The following is a 23,654-nucleotide window of genomic DNA, read 5'->3' as shown; positions in this document are numbered from 1 at the left end:
GCCCTTTGCAAGATTGTATAAAATAACTAAAATTGGAAGTTACCAAAATATTTGACAATGTGGAGAATAGTCTCATAAACTTTGCAGCAACCATACCATCTCAAATTATAGAGCATCTTTTTTAAAAGGCTGGGAGCGGTGGCTCACGCCTGTAATCCCAGCACTTTGGGAGGCCAAGGCAGGCAGATCACCTGAGCTCAGGAGTTCGAGACCAGCCTGGCCAATATGGCGAAACCCCGTCTCTACTAAAAATACAAAAATCAGCCAGGCGTGGTGGCGAATGCCTGTAATCGCAGCTACTCTGGAGGCTGAGGCAGGAGAATCGCTTGAACCCGGGAGGCAGAGGTTGCAGTGAGCCGTGATTGTGCCACTTCACTCCAGCCTGGGGACAGAGTGAGACTCCATCTCAAAAAAAAAAAAAGAAAAAGAAAAAGAAAAGGCTGGGGGACGTGGTGGAAAGATGATGTCCTAGACATAGAATTACATGAAAAAGAGAAAGTTGCAGAAATATGAACAGTATGATTTTATTTGTTAAAAGATAAAACGAACCACATATCCCCAGCAAAGCTTTCTCCTTCTGAGAAAGCTGCACGTTGCCGGACAGTAGGTGTATAAAAGGCTGCTGGGGCAATCGCTGAACTATGGAGGCAGTCCCCTTCGGAGGGAGGCAGGGCGTAAAGGAAGGTCGTGGGGAATTTCACGTTTTACTCTGCATACTTCTGTAGTATTTGAGTTTCTCACACCACAGTGTACTGTGTGTGCTTGTGTCATTAAGATGCGAACTCCCAAAGACATGATGGCTGGGGGCAGCTTTGCAGCATGGAGCTGGCCTGGGCTTCCAGCTGCCTTTTCAGAAAGCAAGTAGGAATTATAGAGATGCCTAAAGTTAGAGCAGAAGGTGGGAGGTGGGGAGGATCTTAGAGAATATCTGGCCCAGCACTTCATTATCTGGGTAGGGAAACTGAAGCCTAGGACAGGAGAGGGACTTGTCTTAGCATCTCACACCAGCTGGCAGCAGGCACATGGAGGCAGAAGCTATAGGTTGCTAGCCTGTGTTCTTCTACCACCAGGCCACTCTGCCAACCCTCAAATGTGCTGGAGTCACGGTGGTGCAGGAGAAAGAGGCAGGAAGAAAAGAACTAAATATTGGCCGGATGCAGTGGCTCACGTCTGTAATCGCAGCACTTTGGTAGGCCAAGGTGGGAGAATTGCTTGAGCCCAGGAGTTCCAGACCAGCCTAGGCAATATAATGAGACCTCGTCTTGAGCCCGGGAGGTGGAAGTTGCAGTGAGCCAAGAAGGCACCACTGCACTCCAGCCTGGGCAACAGAGCGAGACTCCGTCTCAAAAAAAAAAAAAAAAAAGCAGAACTAGGTATTCATGGGGCAGGATAGGGATAGGTGGGAAGCAACTTGGCATCCATCTCTTCAACCATCCATGCAACAAACATGTGTTGAGGGTTCTGGTGGTTTTGAAGCATGTCTGTAAATTTTTTTAACACTCTTCCCATCGAAAGGCAGGGCTTCTGTCCCCTTGCCTCGAATCTGGGCTGACCTTAGCCACTCACTTGTAACACATAGAACGTGGTGGAAGCAATACTGCCTGATTTTCAAGGTTAGATTAGATAAGCCTGTGCATCTTCCTTCTGGCTTTCTTGGGACGCGGGTTCCGGGGGAAGTCTGACTACCCTGAGATTGCCGTGCTCGAGAGGCCACATGTAACACCTCAGTGGAAAGCCTGGCCAACTCCCAGCCAATTGCCAGCATCCAATGCAGCCATGGCAGAACCCAAGCCCATTTGCATGCACCCCCTTGAGACTTTGGGTGATCCAGTCCATGGCAGAACCCAAATGAGAACTGCCTGGCTGAGACCTTCCCAAATTCTACACCCACAAAACCATGAGCAAGATTAAATAGCACTTTTAAGCCACTAAATTATGGGGTGATTTGTTACCGAGCGATAGTATCTGCAAAGGGAGTTACTCTGTGCCAGGCACTGTGCACAGAGGGGTAGAACAATGAATAAGCATGCAGAAGCCAGACACATAAGCAGATAATTATGAAATAATGTGGTAACTACAACGATGGAGTCAGGCATGGGTCAGATGGGAGCAGAGCTGAAGAGTCTGTAATCTAGGCTGGGTGCGGTCTGAAAAGTTTTCTTGGAGCAGGTGACATTGAACTGGCTTTGAATGGTGAGTAAGGGTTGGCCAAGTAAAGGGGTGAGCTGAGGAAAGAAAGACATTTCAGGCAGAAGGAGTAAGCCCTGGAGGTAAGACATAGAATGATACTGGTCAGGGGACTCTTTATGACATATGAGACAGAGAGCAGGAGATGAGGCTGAGCAGGTCGCAGGGCCCCCAGATTGTGAGAATCTTCAGAACAGGCCAACAGTTTGGACAGAAAGCAATTGGGAGGCTTGAAGGTGGGGGCACGAAATGGAGCCTCCTGGGAGCAGCATTGAGAGGATAGACAGGAGGGAGAGAGAAATGGGGATAGAGCAGTGAGGAGAGAGAATCTCAGGAAAAAGAGCTTGGAGATCCCCAGGCTAATGGAGCAGAAAAGTTTGGGAGGGACGATATCTGAGAAGAACATAGGAAATAAATAGTCAGGCCTGGGTGCCCATCTGGGGGTATTATGGGCAACTCTTGGGCTCCCCTTTTGGGTGACCAGGCTGGCAGTGGCACCATCAGCTTAGAGAGCCCTGGAGGAAAAGTGGGTATGAGAAAAGGAGGGTCTGGTTTGGCCTTTTACAACATCATGGCAGGCCCAGGTGGAGACATCAAGTAACCCATGGTATGTAGGAATCCATAGCTTTGGGGGAGCCTGGGGAGGAAGTATGGAGACAGTAGACACTCCTTAAAATGTGTTGAATGAATGAATGAGTGAGTGGATGGGTGGATGGATGTACACACAGACGTGGTTGTTGAGTTCGTTAGGATAGATAAAGTGGGCCAGGGTTGTGGGACAGGCCCTGGGGCTGGCTCTACTGCTGAAATTGAGAGGTATTTGTAGGGGCCAAGTGTGATGACCAAGGTCTTAACGATTCATGGTCCAAGTTCCTGGAATGTGTCCCAACATGTAGGCCACAAGAAAGCACAAAGGAAAACACAGAAGTTCAGGGAATCAGATAGGTTCAGTTCCAAGAAACATTAATTTAGGGGCTACTGTGTGCCTGGCACTGTGCTTCACATATATTATTCAATTTAGTCCTTAGGCCACCCATTCATTGATCCAACAAATATTTTTTGAGCACTTACTATGTGCCAGGCACTGGACTAGATGCTGGGTATACACTGGTGGATAAAGCAAACACCATCCCTTCCCTCGAGGAGCTTAGGATCTAGTGGAGGTTATCATTCCCCTTTTACAAAAACCCAGAGAGATTAAGTAACCTGCCCAAGGTTACACAGCTAGGGGAGATTATACTGCCTGACTGCATGTCCCGGATGCCTCAGGGCACCTGAGTGTGGCAGCTGGCAGAGGAAACTAGGGCAGGGGCAGAGGGTGACCTGATTGCAAGAGCTCAGGTCTGTAGGGAGTCTGAGAGCCATTCAGTGAACTTGGGCTGGGCCAGACCCCCATTTCGGGGAAGCTGGGCTCAATCATAGGAATTTAGGAGGGCAGTGGGATCCCTATTATCAAGACCCACATCTTGGGGCTGGGTGCGGTGGCTCACGCCTGTAATCCTAGCACTCTGGGAGGGCGAGGCTGGTGGATCACCTGAGGTCAGGAGTTCGAGACCAGCCTGGCCAACATGGTGAAACCCTGTCTCCACTAAAAATACAAAAATTAGCCAGGAATGGTGGCACACACCTGTAATCCCAGCTACTCGGGAGGCTGAGACAGGAGAATTGTATGAAACCAGGAGGTAGAGGTTGCAGTGAGATCGTGCCACTGTACTTCAGCATGGGCAACAGAGCCAGACTCTGTCTCAAAAAAAAAAAAGAGACACATCTTGGGGTTGGGGCTGAGATTCTGGGGCATAAACGAGGCCCCAGGCACAACTTGAGTGCCTCCTCTTAATGATGATGATTGTGACCCCTGAGCATCTGCCACACACAGAGCTAAATGCTTTCCGGGCACAGCTCATTTGATCCCCACAGCTACCCATTACTAGCCCATGCTACATGTGAGATACTGAGACTCCAGAGGGGTTGGTAACCTGCCTGAGACCACACAGCCAGGAAGTGGCAGAGCCACAGGACTGGGCCACATCGACTCCAGAGTCCAGGGTTCAACCACTACCCACAACGCCTCGCATCAGAGTTGGTATAAGAATTAGGCTTCACCTGCACACATGGGTGGGGGCGCAGAGTCCAGCTTTGAGGAGCTGGGGATGGCTGGGCCTGTGGTTAAACTGGATACGAGCCGTGCCTCCTTCCCAGCCCACATCCTGGGGCCCAGCTGTCTCCCTCCCTAGGCTTCAGGGTCCCCCTCCTCCCAACTCTTAGTTATAAGACTTGGACTCTTTTCTCTCCAGCTCCTAGAATAGGAAGGACATGGGTGCTCAGCATGTCTTACCCTCAATCACTTTGCAGATGAGGAAACTGAGGCATAGAGAGACGGTGTTAGTTACCTAAAGTCACTCTGCAAATTAGCGACAGAGCTGGGGTGAGATTACAAGTCTCTTGGGTTTCAGTCTAACATCCCCCACCCCTTCTAGGCTAAGAGCAGGGCCTGAGGTCACCATCATCCTCAAAGCACACACAGGGTCCTTTTCCCGTGTCTCCTGTCTTCCTTTGAAAGTACTGATCTGAGTTCCCGTTCCTAAAGCACCTGTCCATTCACACCCAACCACAAACAGGAAGACGGACAATCAATGGCGCCACGTAGCTCAAATCAGTGAGTCTCAGGCCAAGGAGGGTAACACACTAGGGGGTGATGGGGACTGTGGCAAGCTAGCAAGTGTGTGCCATCTGAGGGAGCACTGGCAACAGCCATGTGGTCCAGAAGCTTGGCCAGAGAAGCCAGAAATCTTACTAATCAGTTCACATGGTTTTCCCCACTAGCATTAGCAACCAGTTGACTTGGTATGAAAGATACAGGTGTGGAAGTACGGCTCATATAGGACAGCTTCCCTCCATCCCTCAGAGACTCTCTGCCTGGCAGGCCCTGATCTGGGAAGACTTAGGAGGTTGTCCCTGAAATCCAAGGAATCTCATAGGCTCAGGAAATGCTCATCATGTCTGCTGGCTTCTTTCGGTAAACCCAGTGGCCCTTAGGCTGGGCAGCACACAAGAATCACCTGTGGAGCCATGGCATTCCTAACGCCAGGCTGCACCCAGGCCAGTGAAATCAGATCCTGGGGGTGTGAGCCAGGCACCAGTCTTTTTGAAAAAAAGCTCCTCAGGTGATCCGAAAGTGCACCAGTGGCATCGGCATCACTGGTAGCTTGTTAGAAATGCAAAATCTCAGACCCCACCTTAGATCTGCTGAATCAGAATCTCTGGGGGTGGGGCCCAGCCAGCTGCAGTTTCACAAGCCCACCAGGTGATTCTGACTCAATACAATTCCAGGCGCACAATCTCAGACCGAGGCAGTGTGAGGTGAAGCTGGTGCCTACAGGAACATGGCACATCTGAAAATAACCAGCTTTACAAGAGATGGTCAATTTAAAGACACTTTTTGAAAAGAAAACCTTACTTTGATTAATTAATTACCAGGGGCCAGGGAACACTGCAAGTTGGGCTCTTCTCTCTTAATTCAGTTGGAAACGTTTCTCCCTCTGACTTCAGAATGGTGAAACATCCTCTCCTTTACAGTCTGGAGACAGAAGCCCTCCTCACTCCTCCAATTCCACCGCACGAGGCTGGCACATAGCAGATGCTCATTAAGCATTAGTTTCTCTCCTTCCCATTTCCCCTTGGAATTTCTAGAGCAGGGGCTTACACACATCCTCTTGCTGTTTTGATTTATATTAAAGTTAGTTCCAGTGCCCAAGTGCCTGGGGTGGCAGGTGGCCAGGTGGCCAGCTGGCCAGGGATTAGGAAATACTGAATTGTCTTTATTTTAAAACCTTGGCCAATGCCAGGGAATATAAAGGGAAGTGAATGAAGTGGGAAGCAAATCATATTGATGATTTTCTTACATCTCTATAAAATGATCTATCGTGTTTCCTTGATTATATGACACATAATTGATGTACAAAGACAGGGTTTTTTTTGGTGGAAAGAAAATGCATACATTTGCAGGCACATTGTGTGTATACATCAACTATGAGACACATTTGTACTCAGTGCAGTGGCTCATGCTGGTAATCCCAGCAATTTGGGAGGCCTGGGTTAGAGGATCGCTTGAATCCAGGAGTTAGAGACCAGCTGGGCAACACAGTGAGACCCCCATCTCTCCCCAGCAAAAAAAGTTTTTTTAAATGCCAGACATGGTGGTGCGTGCTTGTAGTCCCAGCTACTTGGGAGGCTGAGTGGGAGGATCGCTTCAACTCAGAAGGCTGAGGCTACAGTGAGCCATGATGGTGTCATTGCACTCCTGCCTGGGCAACAGAGTGAGACCCTATCTCAAAACAAACAAATGCACCTTTACAGTTTAGAAATTTGAAACTGTGTATCTCAGAGGCAAGGAAAAGGATTTTCTATGAACGATGATTGGAGGGTAGAATGTGAAAATACAATATAATGATGTTCATGGGTTATGGATTATCTTTTGGTCTTTGAGGGTTCTTGTAATAGATATTAACATGAAGTTTGCATAATGATTAAAAAATACAGTTTACAAAGAGAAAGAAATTTCATTAGCCACAAGAGCCACAAAGTCTGCTGGGGTAGAATATCATAAGATACCTGTGGCCTTTAGGAGATCTGCTATAAAATGGTCCTAATTCTTAGGGCTTGAACTTAGTCCCTGTGCAACCTCGGGTAAGTCACTTGCTGAGCCTCAGTTTCTTCATTTGCAAAATGGAAATCATGATCATCTACCTGGCCTGGTTCCTGTTTAGTTAGAGAATCAAATGCAGGGATTATTGAAGGGAAGAACAGGTGGAAACCTTAATCTGCTTAGCCTGGGGAGAGGATGTTTCTGGGACTCCACCTGCCCCAGAATCCCAAACCCACAGCCTTGTAGCAGATGATCTCTGCAAACACAGGGCATAGCTGACGCCCTCTGCTTCCAGAGAGGCCTCTACCTTATTTTCTGGCAAAACCTCAATGCCCTGGACTGTTGCCAAAATCTCAGATCCACTGGTGCCTGAAGATGGATTCTGGGGAGCACAGCTGGTCAGTCAGCACAGGACACACAGATGCCTAGTGCGACCTGGACACAGCCAAAGGGCCTGAGCTTCCCACCACTGGGGTCTCTCTCTTTGGAGGAAATCATTCCACAGAAAGGCCCTGATAAAAATGCAAAGGTGTTATTTTAGTAAGATCAATGCTAAAATTTAGAACAGAGATCGCAGCCCACAGATGGACTTCTTTTGGCCTTCACAGTTTTTAAATTTTTTATTCTTTTTAATGTTTGAGTTTCCCACAAAGCTATCATCCTTTTGGTTTCTGTGGCTGCAGCTTGGGCTCTGGTAGGACTGGACGTGGCACTTCCAACAGGGGCTGCCTGGGCCCCAGGGCACAGAGAGACCTTCGGGAGCCAGATATCAAGAGTGGTTCTGGCTGCCTCAGCCATGGACATCCTGCTGCAGCCTGTGTGGGGGAATTCAGGAGCAGAGAGTGCTTCCCACCCAGATCGTAAAGGAGAGGATACTTTACAACTCTGCAGTGTGGAGAGGATTTCCAACCCCATAAGGGAGCACGGCCAGCTTGTGCATTTATCCACATGCCCAACAATGTTTACTGAGTGTTTCCTCCTCTGTGGCCTGTGGGCCAGTCATCACATTTAATTCCCCCAACAGCCTGTGCAAGAGGCATTATTGTTCCACATTGGGGTCCCTCTCCTTGAGACAACCAGCACCCCCATCTCTTCTCCTCTGCTTCCCAGCCTGGCTGGGCCGGGGAGGAGGTTATAAGGCCCATGGTGGATGTTACCCATTCATTGCCTTCTGGTCCTGTGGTTGTTATGGACTCTGGCTGGGGTCAGAGTCTCCAGGGGCCCCCTGGGCCCAGGCTCTCCACCCAGGCAGCCTCACCCAGCCTGCACAGGTGGGGCCAGGCAATTTATCGACTGATCTGGGTGTGCCCCTGTAGGGAGGAGAAGGCATGGACCAGCTGACCTCTGCCCCATCCTCCAGACCCAGAGGCTGTAGACAACGAGCTTTCCTTAAGAGGCTCTCAACAAATACTCAGGCTTGCCAGGGCTCCTCTGCTTATAAAAATTCCATCTTACAGCATAGAAAGTTTGGAAAGCGCAGCAAATGTATATAAAAGTCACCTAAAAGGCCACCAGCTAGCGATGACCATTGTCAGCATTCAGGAGTATGCCTCCTCTTCATCCCAAAGTCAAACATGAACTACGACTAGGTTGTGACTAGGTTGTACTCTTCTACAATGGGGACACAGGGGTCACAGTTATTCCATTGTTTGTCTTTTATTAATTCTCCTCCATCCTTGGCTTGTTTGGGGACTTTAAAAAAAAAACCGCTTCCTATTACATAGCACAGACTTCAGGAAATACTTGTTCAATGAAGGGACAGGCAGGGCCTGGTCATGTTGGGACTGGAACCCTGGCTGGCTTTAGGTGTGCCCAGCACAAGCTGAACCCCAACACCATTCACCATCCAACCATTCCTGGCATCCCTGGCATGAGGTTAGTTCTCACCAGCTCTCAGTGGAGGTCACTAGTGTTTGTTGACCTTAGTAAGGGAGATTCACAGCTGGGCATGGTGCCTGTAACCCCAACACTTTGGGAGACCAAGGCAGGAGGATCACTCAAGCCTAAGGGTTGGAGACGAGCCTGGGAAACATAGGAAGACCCTCTCTCTACAAAAAAATTTACAGATTAGCTGGGCCTGGTGGTGGGCACTTGTGGTCCCAGCTGCTTGGGAGGCTGAGGTAGGAGGATCGCTTGAGCCCGGGAGGCTGAGGCTGCAGTGAGCTGTGATGGTGCCACAGCACTCCAGCCCAAGTGACTGAGCGGGACCCTGTCTCAAAAAAAATCAATCAATAAATAAATGAGAAATAAAGGAGATGCAGGTGGAGAGGGAGGGGCCTGGATCCTGGGGCTGTGGCATCAGGCAGAGTCTCAGCTTCAGAGTCAGCGGGCAAAATAGGGCCCCGGGGCTGAAGGGTAGGGTTCCTTCCCCTTGAGCCCTCAGAGAGGTTGTTAAGAAAGAGAGAGGCCAAGCGCAGTGGCTCACACCTGTAATCCCAGCACTTTGGGAGGCTGAGGCAGGCAGATCACCTGAGGTCAGGAATTTGAGACGAGCCTGGCCAACATGGTGAAACCCTGTCTGAACTAAAAATACAAAAACTATCTATCTGAGTGTGGTTGTGCACACCTGCAACCCCAACTACTAGGGAGGCCGAGGCAGGAGAATCACTTGAACCTGGGAGGCAGAGGTTGCAGTGAGCAGAGATTGTGCCACTGGGCTTCAGGCTGGGCAACAGAGCAAGACTCAAAAAAAAGAAAAGAAAAGAAAGAAAGAAAGAGAGAGACAGTTCTTAAGGAATCAGGCTTCAGAGAAAGCAGAAGTGTGGAGGACGGACACAGGAAGGCTGTCGGTTGTAAGAGGAGGCTCTGCAACATCGCCAGCAAAGGCGACCGAATTTCTCTTCCCGGAAACTTCCAAGAAGGGGGCATCTCCGTGGACTGGGTCAGAGACCACCTATCCCTGGGCGAGGGGAGGAAGCAGAGGCTTCAGGAGCTCTTTCAGGGAGCACGGAGGCCAGGGCAGCCTGCAGGACAGAGGAGGGTGTGGCTGGAGGGCCGAGGTGGCTGGAGGACAGGAGAGACTTTGGCCAGGGCATTGGTTTTCCTTACTAGGCTGGGCAGGCTTTCTAAGCCTCTGCAGGCAGCCAGTTTGGGGAGGGGCCTGGGCTTGGAGATTCTCGCTTGGCTCAATCCCCTCTTAGATCCGGGAGCTCGTGGGAGGCTTCGGACAGAGCTGGCCCACTCTGCAAAGGTACTTTAGGATTCTTCCTGGAAAACCAGCAAGAGGAGGAAGCGAACACTGCCAGGCCACAGGCCCAGCTTGGATGGCGAGGAGGCTACAGCGTTAGAATCTGGACTCAGCCACATCTATGCCGAGTGACCGTGGGCAAGCAGAGATTTAACCTCTCTGAGTTTCAGCGTCTTCCTCTGGGAAATGAGGATTTTTTTAAAAAACCACACAAAAAATTTTCTTCTGTCCCCTTCTCCCACTCAAGGTTGCTGTGAGGATTATAATGCAAGAGCAAATAAGCAGAAGGGGGCTGGGTGCAGTGGCTCACGCCTGTAATCCCAGCACTTTGGGAGGCTGAGGCAGGCGGATCATTTGAGGTCAGGAGTTAGAGACCAGCCTGGCCAACATGGTGAAACCCTGTCTCTACTAAAAATACAAAAATTAGCCAGGCATGGTGGCACACACCTGTAGTCCCAGCTACTCGGGAGGCTGAGGCAGGAGAATTGCTTGAACCCGGGAGGCAGAGGTTGCAGTGAGCTGAGATCGCGCTTCTGCACTCCAGCCTGGGGAACAGAGTGAGACTCTGTCGGAAAAAAAAAGAAAGAAAGAAAGAAAGAAAATAGGCAGAAGGGCCTGCCTGGCATAGCTAGGTGCTCAATAAATGTTATTCTTCCCTGAAGGTGTCCTCGGAATTGGTGGCATACGCGAATTGCCTTGGGGGTTTGTTTAAACTGCTGACTCCTCTCCACCCCGGCCCAGCAGGTCTGCCTTTTTCACAACACCCAGGCCCAGGTGATTCTTAGGCAGCAGGACCCCAAAATAGCACCAAAGACGCCAAAAGGCTGTTGCCAGATGGGGGTCCTAAGCAGGTGTGTGGGTAACCCCCTGCCCACCGACTCTCACGCCTTAGGCCACCAGCCTGCAGCCCCTCCCTCCCACAAGCACCGTGGGCCCTGTTGTGAGCTGCCAGTTGCAGTGTGGGTTTTTGTCTGCCTTCCCCACCCCATGCCAACCCGCCCAGCAGGCCCCACTGCCTTGGCAACGCATTGCAAAGTCCACACAAAGGGAAACTGCGCTGGGGAGGCTGGTCCTGCCCGACGCCCGGGGAAGGGTTTCCATGGCAATGCTGACATCACCAGGCTCTGGCGGCTGCAGTCAGGCCCTGCATGAAGGCGCCTGGCTGTTCACACCACAACGACCTTGGAGGAGGGCGACCCAGGGCTCTGCACCGATGCCGGGGGGCGGAGAGGGCCTGCCCCTGGGTTCGAAACCCAGCCCTACCCCTGACTGGCCAGGTGACTTTGAGCAAGACACAGGGTCTGTCTGAGTCTAAGTCTCTTCACCTATAAAAGAGAACTAATGATCTTTACCTTGCAGTGAGGAGGAAATGAAATCATGGCTACTGTGCAGGGATGGGTAAACTGTAAAGGCTGGGGAGCACCCTGAGCCCCGTGACTGCTGGGCCCCTGGGTGTGGGATCCAGAAGGAGAGGCTGGGATTCGGGGAGGAGAAGGCACAGTTATCCAACAACCTCCCCTGCGCCTCCTCTCACTGGGGAGGAGGAGAGGTATTTGGGGAGATGTGTTATTTGGGGAAGAGAGTCATGGGATGGGGAGACATTGGGGCTGGATGGTGGCTTGGATTTTCCGGTCTCACACCCTCAGCTCAAGGATGAGGATTCAGAGGCCCAGGAAGCAGCTGTGACACAGGCCCAAGCTCATATCCCTGCATTAGGATGGAGCCAGGGTGCAGGGGGTATGGGCAAGGGTCCCCTGTGCCCCAAGGGTGGGCCCTCTGGGTGGAGCCATCTCTGTTCTCAGTGGCAGTAACACTGACTCCTCTGCAGGAAATAAACAGTCAGAAGCACAAGGCGGGAGAGGGTGGGACCTTCTGAGATCAGTGAAGCTGTAGGTTGGAGTCCACCCACGGTGTGCTGGGCAGGAGGAGAGCCGGGCAGCGGGGAGCTTGGAAAGGCCTCGAAGGCTTCCTCTCTGCTGCTGTCCCTAGGAGGCTCTCTGAAGGCTCTGCCTTTTCCCAGCTTTGGCTAGGGGCCCCCACCCCACCCCACCCCACATGGTGAGGGTCTCCCTAGGCCTTAGCCACATGGCTTGGGGCAATTCCAGGAGGAGGCCTCAGGTGTCCACAGAGCTTTCTGCCTAGCCAGCTCACCCCCACCACCAGCTTGTCCCCTCCTGTCTGTCCTCTGTCAGGATCTGGGACCTGCCGCAGGCTCTTTATCTCCAAGGGAATTGCTGGGGACTGTCCCCACTCAGTGTCCCAGCCAGGGTCTTACTGTGCCCTGGTGCCCCATTCTGCCAGACTTTGTCCAACTTCCACCCAGACGTCTGTGTCCCACCCTCCCTGGGCCCAAGTGACCCCTCTGGGCTCTTGGCTCCCTTTGCGGGAAGGTGGACCTCCCACCACAACAGCGGTCACTCGTCAGTCCAGAGGGAGGCTTCCATGAGGTTGAGACGGCCATTCTGACCTGAAGTTCCCCTCCCGCGGCAGGAAAGCTGCAGGCCGTCATTCTGCTTCCTCTCCCTGGGGAAGTCGCCCTCCTTCACCTCTGGGGCCAGGGAAGGGGCCCGCTGCCTGGGAGGGGAGGGCAAGTGCTGTCCTCAAAGCTGCAGTCAGGTCACGGGGAAGAGAGGAAGCCATGGGGCTGCCATGTTAGGCAGTGAGGGCTTGCTGGCACTTGCGCGCGCCCGCCTCTGAGTCCCTGGCACCTATGCCCCTCTTGGCCACAGCCTCACTTGTACTTACCCTGCTGAGGCCTCCGGCTCAGCTGGACTGTGACGTGCCATTGTTTGGCTTCGAACCGGTTCTGTAAGGGTGGCCCCAGTCCAGTGTCCTGGGGTGGCAGAGCCACCCATCGGGGTGCCCTGGAGAAGCCAGGCATCTGGAGCAGGAGGTCTGGAAGGCGGGGGGAGGAGGAATGTCCCTGCTGAGATAGAGGTCCAAGGACCCCCTCCAGAAGCCCACACTTTGTGCCCACACAAGGAGCACAAGGAGCCTCAGTGGCTTCTCGAAGCTGCCTGGCTCCATGAAAGGATGGTGGCTGGCCTTGGGCTCTGCGGGGATCAGCCACGTCCTTTCCCTTTGCCTCCAAGACAGAGGAATTGGGTTAAAGGTTGGAACCACCTGGGAGGACACTTCCCTACTCACCAGGTACTGGGCTTTCCAAGGCTGCATCCTCTGCCCCCTCCCCTCAGGGCTGTAGACCCCGGGTCCTAGGCCTAGCGTCCCTCCCTGAAAGTATTTGGGGACGAGCCCAGCTGGCTCGGCCACCTGCTCTGGCTGAATAATGGGCATGCTGGCCTAGGCCTTCAGACACCCTGGATGGGCGGTGGGGGACCCAATTCGTGACTCTGACTTGAGTGTGCTCAACCCAGCACTGATTTACATAACATGGTTTTGCATGAAAAACAAGCCAGCATGCAGTGTGGGGAGGGCCCCAGCTGTGGCCTGCTGTGGGCAGCTGTCCTTGGCCGGCCTCCCCTGTGGCCCTGGCTCCTGCCTTCCCCTGACCTCTGCAGATTCCTCAATAAAGAATCTCCCACCCCAGCGCAGCATTGAGTGGCCTCGATGGGTGAGCACAGGAGCCAACCACGATGGCGAGGATGCCAGACTCCCTCCTGGGGAAATCCTGGGGTCTTCCATTCCTCTGAGGCTGAAATCACAGCACAGGGGCACAGGAAGCTGTGGCGGGGGGCCAGGGCGGGGCGGGGCGGAGCTGTTGAGCACCTACTGTGCATCAGGTCCTGCTCGAGCCTCTTTCATGCACATTGTGTCACTGCACCTTCACAAGACCTGCTGAGGAAGGTAGAGTCGTTTGGGGGTGCCAAGAAAGAAAGTGAGTCACTCTATGGGGCTTGGAGTGCCCTGGGTCTGTCTAATGGACACCTCACTTGCATTGCACGCCCTCTCTGCCTGGGAAGCATTGCCCACCCTGGGTGCCTGAGGGCTCACACACACTGTCTAGGAGCGGGTGAGCGAGGCTTCTTCCTCCCCGAGGTCTCCAAAAGCTGGAGAGAACTACCTCTGTCCATCTGGGATTGTGGGCTGGGGGTGGAGGTCTGCCAAACCAGGCCCAGAGGAAATAAAGAAAGGGCGGGTCGGAAGCCTCACTCTCGAAGCAGCTGTTAATTTCAAGAAAGGTCCTCCCAAATCCTTAGCCCCTGATCCATCTAACACTCAGCTCAGAAACATTATGTCCTGGGGTTCTTTCGCTGGAAACAGAGTCAGGCCTGGTATAAGCTTGGGAATCGCAGATAAGCTTGCATCTTGAGCTGGTGTCCAGCGGCCTGGTCTCCCTGGGCCTGACCAGCTGTGGAACTGGACAAGGCTCCTAATCTTGCTGACTCTGTTTCCTTGTCTGTAACTCTGTTTCCTTGTCTGTAACTAACACAGGGCAAGTAAAACCTGCTCTGCCTATTTTAGATGGTGGTTGTGGGAGCAGATGAGATCCTGTATGTCCAGCTCTAATCAGGCAGGCACTGAATAAAGGGAAGGGGTGATGTCTAAGGCCAGCAAGGACAGTCAACTCTCTTTGAAGAACCAGAGTTTCTTTCCATCCCCACCCCCAGCCTGCTCTGTCTCTTTGGCTCAGCCATATTGAGCCTAGTCTGAGTTAGGCCAGAAAGGCCAGTGACTCATAGTGACCTCACTCCTCTTTGTCTCAGTTTTTCCTCCTGTAAAATGGGCACAGCTGCTCTTGGTTAAGAAATCTGCCAATGAAAGGCCCTCAAAGGCTGTGTCACTCTGTTATTAACATCACCACTCCTCCTTGCTCTTACTCATCTGGCTAGGAAGACATGTGAAAGGGGAAGATTCTGGAATCTTATTAGAATAAAAATAAGGAAAATAAGTATTGCTTAGCCTGGGCAGCATAGCCAGACCCAGTCTCAAAAAAAAAAAAAAAAAAAAATTAGCCAGGCGTGGCATGTGTCTGTAGTCCTAGTACTTCTGGTACTTGGGAGGCTGAGGCTGAGGCTGGAGGATCACCTGAGCCTGGGAGTTCAAGGTTATAGTGAGCCGTAATCATGCCACTGTACTCCAGCCTGGGCAACAGGGTGAAACCTTGTGGGGGACAAAAAGGAAGAAAGAAAAGAAAAGAAAAAGAAAGAAAGAAAAAAGCCAGGCACAGTGGCTCATGCCTGTAATCCCAACACTTTGGGAGGCTGAGGCGGGTGGATCTCTTGAGGTCAGGAGTTTGAGACCAGCCTGGCCAACATGGTAAATCCCTGTTTCTACTAAAAATACAAAATTAGCTGGGCGTGGTGGTGGGCGCCTGTAATCCCAGCTACTCAAGAGGCTGAGGCAGGAGAATTGCTTGAACCTGGGAGGCAGAAGTTGTGGTGGGCCAGGATCGCGACACTGCACTCCAGCCTGGGTGACAGAGTGAGACTCTGTCTCAAAAGAGAGGAGAGGAGAGGAGAGGGGAGGGGAGGGGAGGGGAGGGAAGCATGGCTTGCAGTCCAATGCCCAGAGCTAGCTGGGCCTCACACGGCTTTTCCGGCCTAGCTGGTGGCCTGTGCCCTGTCACATTTCCACAAACAACTGAAGACAAGTTACCATTTAACCAGTCCATGGGAACTGGGGCCAAACTCTCTCCAAATGGCAAACCAGCAGGACCTGTTTGCTGGGGTGAAATAACCTCGCTGGACTTGGTACATAGCTGCCCTCCCACAACCCTCCTCCTGCCATGCCCAGCCCAGAAGGGTGACCCTGGCAGGTCTCCTGAACTTTCTGAGCTTGGGGCCTCATCAGTGGATGTGGGGGAAACGGTGACTGGGAGGAACCAGCAATGGGGCCCAGGGGAGAACACACACACATTCAGAGGGGTGAGCTGAGCCCCCCAAAACTCGACCAGAGGGGCCCAAGGCAATCCGCAGTGCATTGGAGAGTCAAGCTGCGATAGGAGAGGAAAGAGCAGTGAGTGATGGAGAGGAGGGGCCTCCCTCCACCCAGAGACCGCAGGCTGGGGGCATGGGAGCCAGAGAGGTGCAGATCCCTCCTCCTCCCTCGGCCCCTCACAGCCATCCCTGAGGCCAGGTTAACCATGAAAGGTCTCACCCATCTCAGGCTCCTCTTGAACCAGGGTTGGGTCTCAATTCTCTGGGACCCCCACATACCTGATACCCCAAAGGTAGAGTTGATACTTATTGAATAAATGCTCAGCTGCTGTCTGCTTCCTCAGAACTCCTGACCCTTGGTCAATTGAGCGCCTACATTCCTGAACTACCAGAGCAGGGAGATGGTCGGGGCGGTGGGGGGTCTTAGGGATTACCAAGTGTGTTGTGGGGAGGGAAAGTTACATTTTACTTGACCGTTTAAAAATATTCTATGCCTGGCTGGATGCGGTGGCTCACGCCTCTAATCCCAGCACTTTGGGAGGCCGAGGTGGGCTGATCACAAGGTCAGGAGTTCGAGACCAGCCTGACCAACATGGTGAAACCTCATCTCTACTAAAAATATAAAAATCAGCCGGGCTTGGTGGCACGTGCCTGTAGTCCCAGCTACTTGGGTGGCCGAGGCAGAAGAATCACTCGAAGCTGGGAGGTGGAGGTTGCAGTGAGCCAAGATTGCGCCAGTGCACTCCAGCCTGGGAGACAGAGCGAGACTCCGTCTAAAATAAATAAATAAATAAATAAATAAATAAATTCTATGCCTAAGGTGAGACCAGATTATATTTATTTGTCCTTCTTAAAGTTTCAAATTAAAGTTGTAAAATATTTCAAATATACAGAAAAGTACAGAGTAATATCTCAGCCACAAACCCACCACTAAATTTGGACACATGTAAATATTTCACTCTATTCTCTTTAGGTCTCTTTCAATCAAAAATTAAATTTTGGCAATAGAACGGAAGTGACATCCCTAGCCCATCCTTCTTCCTCCCTCATCAGAGGAGACCACTAACTTGAAACCAGCACATTTCCTATGCATGTTTTCATACTTTTACTATGTACACGGGCCCATAAGCAACCTACGGTGTCATTTGCAGGTTTAGAAAATTAGGTGTGAGGCCGGGACGGTGGCTCATGCCTGTAATCCCAGCACTTTGGGAGGCAGAGGCGGGTGGATCACCTGAGGTCAGGAGTTTGAGACCAGCCTGGCCAACATGGCAAAACCCTGTCTCTACTAAAACAAAAATTAGCCAGCATGATGGCAGGCGCCTGTAGTCCCAGCTATTCAGGAGGCTGAGGCAGGAGAATCGCTTGAACTGGGAGAGGGGCAGAGGTTGCAGTGAGCTGAGACTGCATTCCAGCCTGAGCGACACAGCAAGAGTCTGTCTCAAAAAAAAAAAAAAAAAAAAAAAAAAGGAAAAGAAAAGAAAGAAAGAAAGAAAGAAAAAAAAAAAAGAAAATTAGGTCTGAAAATGTGAGTTGCAGACTGATAGTGCCAGGTTTTCACCCTCTGTGCTCCAGGGCCTGGCCACTGAGTGATCTCCAGGCTGGGAGCTGGAGGCAGCAGCTCACAGTGCCTTGAGCAGCTCCACTCTCCTGTGATTTATACATGGGGGGTTCGGCATGAGATTGCCTTGGAAAAACAGGTTCCACAGTTTGAAAGTCACAAATCTAATGAAAATTCATCTGACAGAGAATGAGGCCAGTGCCCAGAGAGGGGAGGTAACTTGCTCCAGGTCACACAGCAGGCTGAGTGGCAGAGCCTTCTGATGCCCAGTCCAGGAGTCTTGCCTTCCCCACTGTCCAATAAGGAAACATAAATGGGCACCCCGACCCAAAGGATGATTTGCTCCTGGGTCAGGGAAAGGCAAAGGGGTCTGGACAGGGGCCTCTGAGGAGGCCTCTGACCTCCCCTGTGGGGAGTGGAGGGCACAAGGAAAGTGCCAGACCTGCACTCTCCAATATGGTAGCCATGGCCATGTGCCCATGGGCACTGGAACAGTTAGTCCACACTGAGATGTGCCACAAGAGTAAACTACATACCAACCAGATCTTGAAAATTTAGTATGAAAAAAGAATATAAAAGATCTCTTTACTTTTTAAATGGTTTATGTGTTGAAATTATAATATTCTAGACATATTGGGTTAAGCAAAATATATTCAAAAAATTAATTTTACCTGTTTCCTTGTTTTAAATGTGGCTATTAGAAAATACTATATTCTGGCTGGGTGCAGTGGCTCATGCCTATAATCCCAGCACTTTGGGAGGCCAAGGCAGGTGGATCACCTGAGGTCAGGAGTTTGAGACCAGCCTGGCCAACATGGTGAAACTCCGTCTCTACTAAAAATACAAAAATTAGCCAGGCATGGTGGTGCACGCCTGTAATCCCAGCTACTTGGGAGGCTGAGGCATGAGAATTGCTTGAACCCAGGAGGTAGAGGTTGCAGCAAGCAGTAAGCCGAGATCACGCCACTGCACTCCAGCCTGGGTGACAGAGCGAGACTCCATCTCAAAAAAAAAGAAAAAAGAAAATATTATATTCTATGTGTGGCTCGGGTTATATTTCTATTAGACCATGCTGCCCCAGATCTGATGCCCAGTGGCTGAGGCAAAGTAGCTAGACCACAGAGACAGGGACTAGAGGAGGACAGTACACAGGAGCCTTGAGCTGGAGGTGAGGGGTCTGTTTCCACAGGCCACATGTGGAGACTACATTTTGATCAGGAGCAGATAGAACAAATAAATGCCCTCCCCTTCCTACCTCCTAGGTCAGGGGCTTTTCTCTCTGGTCCTCCAGGATCCAAGCTTGCCCTTGTCTCTCTCCCAGAGAGCTAAGTGTGAATCAGAGCAGGCCCTCTCTGCTTGGTACTTGTACCTGCAGACCATCGGTCTGCACAGCCCTGGGGAAGGACAGTGCGGACACCCTTTCCCAGACAAGCTTTCCTTTTCTGCATGACAACAGGGGTTTCTGTTGCCCCCTTCCCTCCCCTTCCCTTCTGGTGGAGTTGAGCACTGCAGCTGGGCTCTTCCTGAGCCTCTACATCACTTGATCTCAGGGAAAGGGTCACCCTTGGGTTCAGTGTGGGTGCAGGGGCTCTCCCACAGTGCAGCAGACACATACTCCAGCTCCTGGGGATGACCGGGGGCCACGGAATGGCCCGAGCCTCAGGATACAATGATTCTGGTCTGGCATTGTGGGAGATGCCCAGCCAAATGCTGGGGAACCAACCCCTCCCCACCGAGCTTCTGCCTTCTCTTGTACCACTGACCCGGTCTGCGATTCCAGCCAATTATTCTGTCTTCTCCAGAGTTGGCAAAGTGTGACACTTCCCTATTAGAAATCTTCAGCGATTTCCCTGTGCAGCTGGGAGCTGTCCACAGGCAGCTTCTCCCTGTTAAGGTAGGGGTGAGGAGGAGGGGACAGGGGTCTGCACCACCTACCAGAAAATGAGAAAAACATCAGGTGCTTAAGTGCATATGACAGATAACAAACTTTTCTCCTCATGGAGGAAACAGAATCCAGGATATAACAACTTTAGAGTTTTCAATATATCGGGGCCAGGGGGAGGGGGAGGGAATAAAAACAGTATCTTCCGCTTCCAGACATTAAAAAATTATATATGTCACAAAAGTAATACAAATGCACACAGTAAAATATTCGAATAAGACTTTTTTTTTTTGAGACAGAGTTTTGCTCTGTTGGCTAAGCTGGAGTGCAGTGGCATGATCTTGGCTCACTGCAACCTCCACCTTCTGGGTTCAAGTGATTCTCCTGGCTCAGCCTCCTGAGTAGCTGGGATTACAGGTGCTGCCACCATGACTGGCTAATTTTTGTATTTTTAGTAGAGACAGGGTTTCACCATTTTGGCCAGGCTGGTCTCGAACTCCTGGCCTCATGTGATGCACCTGTCTCGGCCTCCCAAAGTACAGGGATTACAGGCATGAGCCACAGCGCCCGGCCCAAGCCCAAGCCCAGCCCCCAAAGTCTTGAAAATATGGATACATAATTCATCTTTCATCACTGGCCTTAGCAAATCCAAAGGTGGAAGCTAATAGGAAGCTCTGAGCCCTTCCCTCCACCCTGGGTGCTTTGGGACTCCAGATAACTAAATTTCTAAAAAACAACTTACCCAGAAACGTGCCCTCTAATTTAGAAAAAGTTGCCAACAGAGGACTATGCTCCAGAAACCACAAACTATGAAGAATGAGCATAATACGTGTTGTGAGTTCACTGTTTTAATCAAATAAAACCTGCAACAAAGTTAATCTGACACATAGTTAATGAGATAATCATTGTTGCGCTTTGTGGGAATTAGACATTAATGGGAGGCAGTTTTTATAAATGATGGTAATTATATTGTTGCCTTTGCTCAGCCAAAATGTAAAAGTTTTTTCTTCTCGTTTCGTTACTTCCCTTGAATGTGCCATCCATGTACCATCTAGATGATGAAGTTTCCTGTGGGTTTCTGTGTCATTTCTTCACCATCGCAGCCCCACCCTGCCCCCACCCAGACCACAGGCAGACAACAAAATTTCTTGAGCACCTACCCTGCGTCACTATGCAAAGCACTTGGCTTGGAAGATCTCATTTAATCCTCACAAGAATCTCCAGAAATAAGTATTTTTAGCACATAGGTGACAAAAGAGAAAACTGAGGTTTAGGCTGGTCACGCTGCCCACAATGACAGACCCAGGCATGAGCCAACCCAGGCAGTCTGACTGCACCTCTGGAGCAGAACCACTGTGCTGGGCAGCCCCCTTGCCTTGACCCCAGCTGGCCTCTGTGCCCAGTCCCTGTGCTCCCCTCGCCCTCTGGGACGCCACGGGGCCAGGCAGTTGAGGGCAGCTAGGGTGTCAGACTTGCCCAGAGGGACGTGGGCTGCAGCAAGTGGAAAGAGAATCATAGCAGCCACTGGCTTTGCAGCCACACGGACCAAAGTTCAAATCCCAGTAACTCACGCTCTGGCAGTGTGATCTTGAGTATCACGAACACCTCTGAGCCTCGGTGTCCTCATGAAATGGGGAGAAGAGTTGAGGTTCTCGTAGTGATCAGCGAGCTGATGTCTGTGCAGGCCTAGCACAGGGACTGGCACACAGGTGGGGGTGAGCCCCGAGACCCCAGACCCCTTCCCTGGAGGGCACAGGAGTGGTGGAAGGGACAGGAGGTTTTCCAGCCCCAGTATCCAGGAGCCTTGGCACAGGGACTCTGATCAGGGGAGGGAAAGCAGTGAGAGAGCATAGCTTCCCAGAGAGCTCTGAAGGGGTCGGGGGACCAAAGGGGAAAGAAAATCACAAGCTCTCTTTGGGACTACCTGTAGGGTGAGCCAGGTTTCATGAGCAAGGAAAACCTCCACTTCATTTCCAGTCTCTCCATAAAGCCTGATGTTCCTCCTTTTGTGTTCCTCTGGGTTATAACAGGGTTAAACCCTATATTCCAGCCCGCAGCACAGGAAGGGGTCAGCCAGCAGGAGGTAACCCCTGGTGGAAAGGGAACAGAGAAGCTGCAAACACTGTCCAAAACAAACTTCTGCCACCTTACCACGTTGCCCTGGGCCTGCCCTATTTGCCGTCACCAGCAGAGGACAAAGAAAGGTTATGTGCAAAGGTACTTTGTGTTCCCGCGGCAGGGGGCCAGCGGGGAACTCTCGTCACCTGGTTGTGCTAGGGATTCCAGGGCATGCTCTAAACCACAGAGGAGGGCGGCCTCTGAATGGGGCCACGACAAAACAGGCCTGGGTGAAGCTGCTATTCGTCTGCTATGAGACCTGGAGGGGACTCAGTCCTCCAGCCTTGGATCACAGGACTCCCCAAGGCTACAAGGGCCATTGGGGGTGTCAGAGTCCTGGGACCCTGACCAGCTTCCCAGCCAGCCTCCAGGAGCGCCGTCATCCCTGCTGCAGAGAGAACACAGAGATTAAGAGTTATAGGCTTGGCTGGGCCAGATGCTATGGCTCACACATGTAATCCCAGTACTTTGGGAGGCAGAGGCAGGCAGATCACCTGAGGTCAGGAGTTTGAGACCAGCCTGGCCAACATGGTGAAGCTCCGTCTCTACTAAAATTATAAAAATTAGCCGGGCATGGTGGCACATACCTGTAGTCCAGCTGCTTGGGAAGCTGAGGCAGGAGAATCGCTTGAACTCAGGAGGCGGAGGTTGAAGTGAACAGAGATCATGCCACTGCACTCCAGCCTGGGCAACACAGCAAGACTCCGTCTTTAAAACAAAAACAAAAACAAAGAGTCACAGGCTTTAGAATCAGCCGCACTTGGGGTCAAGTTTCAACTCTGCCTCCTTCCAGCAGTGGGACCCAGGGCAAGCAATCAATTTCCTTTGAGCCTGAGTTTCCTCATCTGTGAAATGGGGCTAATCGTTGGGACTGTTTTGAAGACGCATGTCTTCTGACTCGTACACTGAGCACAGTGGCTGACTCAACTGTCAATGCCAGACATGCATAATGACAATATAAATGTAATGATAATTCCTTCCAGAAATACCTGTCGAGCACCTGTGACAGGCCAGGCACTGTGCAGGGTGCTCTTGAAGATATGAAGGTGAGTAAGACAAGTCCCACCCTGTCTGGAGGACATGCCCAAGAATGATTCTAACCAAACCTGAGAATGCTGAGTGATGGGAGGGAAGGCATGCAGAGGAGGTCAGCATAGGCATTCAGGGAAGCCTTCCTGGAGGAGGCAGCACTTGAGCTGGGCCTGGGCGGGTGGCTAGGACTGTGGATGTGGGGAGGAGAGGAAGGACATGCCTACATGAGGAAGGAAGTAGAGTGAAAGAGCTGTTCAAGTTTAGGGCACACAGAAGCTCCATGTGGCTGGAGTACAGTGCCCAGTGAGGACATGGGGGGTGGACAGCATGCCAGGTGGGACAGAGCGTCACTGTCCCCCAAATACACCATCTCCCTCTGCCTTGCTGGGTGACCTTGAGCTGGGTACTCTGTGTCTCTGAGTCTCATATCTCTCATTTGTGAAATTAAAGGTCTGGAGTGATTAGTGGTTCACCACCTTTCCCCCAAGAACTTTAGTTACTCCCTGTTTTTCTCCCCATTGTCTCGCATACATGTTGTGTCCTTGCATGAAGTCACTGAAGGTTTTGATCAAGGCTACGGATGATCAATCACAGGTGATGTGAAAAAGCCCCCTGGCTCCAGTGTGGTGATGGGTGGGAAGATGGGAGGCCCCCACCATGAGCCATGAGGGCCCTGGTGAGGACTGGGCTGAGGGAGGTGAAGGAGAAAACACCATTAGGAACTGGAGCTCTGGCCTAGAAGTCCTGACAGGGGCTGAGGGGAGTTAAGGGTCAGAAGGCAGAGCCTGGGTGATTGACGGTCAGATGTATAGGTTGGGGTTTCAGCCAGAGGGGCATCCCTCCCATCCCCAGAGGGAGAACAATGGGTTGGTTTAAACAAATTGAATTTGAGGCACCTCTAAGACATCATGGTAGACTGTCCAGTAGGGAATGGATTTTTTTTTCTTTTTTGAGACAGAGTCTCGCCCCAGGTTAGAGTGCAGTGGTGCAATCTCGGCTCACTGCAACCTCCGCCTCCCGGGTTCAAGTGATTCTCCTGCCTCAGCCTCCTGACTAACTGGGACTACAGGCGCATGCCACCATGCCCAGCTAATTTTTTTGTATTTTGTTTTTGTTTTTTAGTAGAGTTTTTTTTTTTTTTTTTTTTTTTAGTAGAGACAGGGTTTCACCACGTTGGCCAGGATGGTCTTGATCTCTTGACCTCA

General features: G+C 51.5%; 7 annotated features.

The window, feature by feature from the left end:
* Positions 12,306–13,225: an enhancer, noted in NCBI's record as "H3K27ac-H3K4me1 hESC enhancer chr17:48995097-48996016 (GRCh37/hg19 assembly coordinates)". NCBI's record gives its function as "activates a minimal SCP1, AML or CMV promoter by ChIP-STARR-seq in primed H9 embryonic stem cells {active_cell/tissue: H9 hESC(primed)}" and the evidence as "EXISTENCE:reporter gene assay evidence [ECO:0000049][PMID:30033119]".
* Positions 12,879–13,048: an enhancer, noted in NCBI's record as "experimental_47230 CRE fragment used in MPRA reporter constructs". NCBI's record gives its function as "activates a minimal promoter by MPRAs in K562 erythroleukemia cells, with activity observed for both the introgressed and non-introgressed 17:48995359 variant alleles {active_cell/tissue: K562}" and the evidence as "EXISTENCE:reporter gene assay evidence [ECO:0000049][PMID:34662402]".
* Positions 13,672–13,731: a silencer, noted in NCBI's record as "silent region_8715". NCBI's record gives its function as "represses an Ori minimal core promoter by ATAC-STARR-seq in GM12878 lymphoblastoid cells {active_cell/tissue: GM12878}" and the evidence as "EXISTENCE:reporter gene assay evidence [ECO:0000049][PMID:35858748]".
* Positions 14,620–14,749: an enhancer, noted in NCBI's record as "active region_12394". NCBI's record gives its function as "activates an Ori minimal core promoter by ATAC-STARR-seq in GM12878 lymphoblastoid cells {active_cell/tissue: GM12878}" and the evidence as "EXISTENCE:reporter gene assay evidence [ECO:0000049][PMID:35858748]".
* Positions 20,310–21,219: an enhancer, noted in NCBI's record as "H3K27ac-H3K4me1 hESC enhancer chr17:48987103-48988012 (GRCh37/hg19 assembly coordinates)". NCBI's record gives its function as "activates a minimal SCP1, AML or CMV promoter by ChIP-STARR-seq in primed H9 embryonic stem cells {active_cell/tissue: H9 hESC(primed)}" and the evidence as "EXISTENCE:reporter gene assay evidence [ECO:0000049][PMID:30033119]".
* Positions 21,220–22,130: an enhancer, noted in NCBI's record as "H3K27ac-H3K4me1 hESC enhancer chr17:48986192-48987102 (GRCh37/hg19 assembly coordinates)". NCBI's record gives its function as "activates a minimal SCP1, AML or CMV promoter by ChIP-STARR-seq in naive and primed H9 embryonic stem cells {active_cell/tissue: H9 hESC(naive and primed)}" and the evidence as "EXISTENCE:reporter gene assay evidence [ECO:0000049][PMID:30033119]".
* Positions 21,399–21,693: a silencer, noted in NCBI's record as "tiled region #609; K562 Repressive non-DNase unmatched - State 7:EnhWF". NCBI's record gives its function as "represses a minimal TATA promoter and a strong SV40 promoter by Sharpr-MPRA in K562 cells {active_cell/tissue: K562}" and the evidence as "EXISTENCE:reporter gene assay evidence [ECO:0000049][PMID:27701403]".

The sequence above is a fragment of the Homo sapiens genome, chromosome 17, assembly GCF_000001405.40.
Source record: "Homo sapiens chromosome 17, GRCh38.p14 Primary Assembly".
In the NCBI taxonomy this organism is placed as follows: domain Eukaryota; kingdom Metazoa; phylum Chordata; class Mammalia; order Primates; family Hominidae; genus Homo; species Homo sapiens.
The sequence above is the reverse complement of the archived record's forward strand: the minus strand, read 5'-3'. Positions and strand labels throughout refer to the sequence as shown.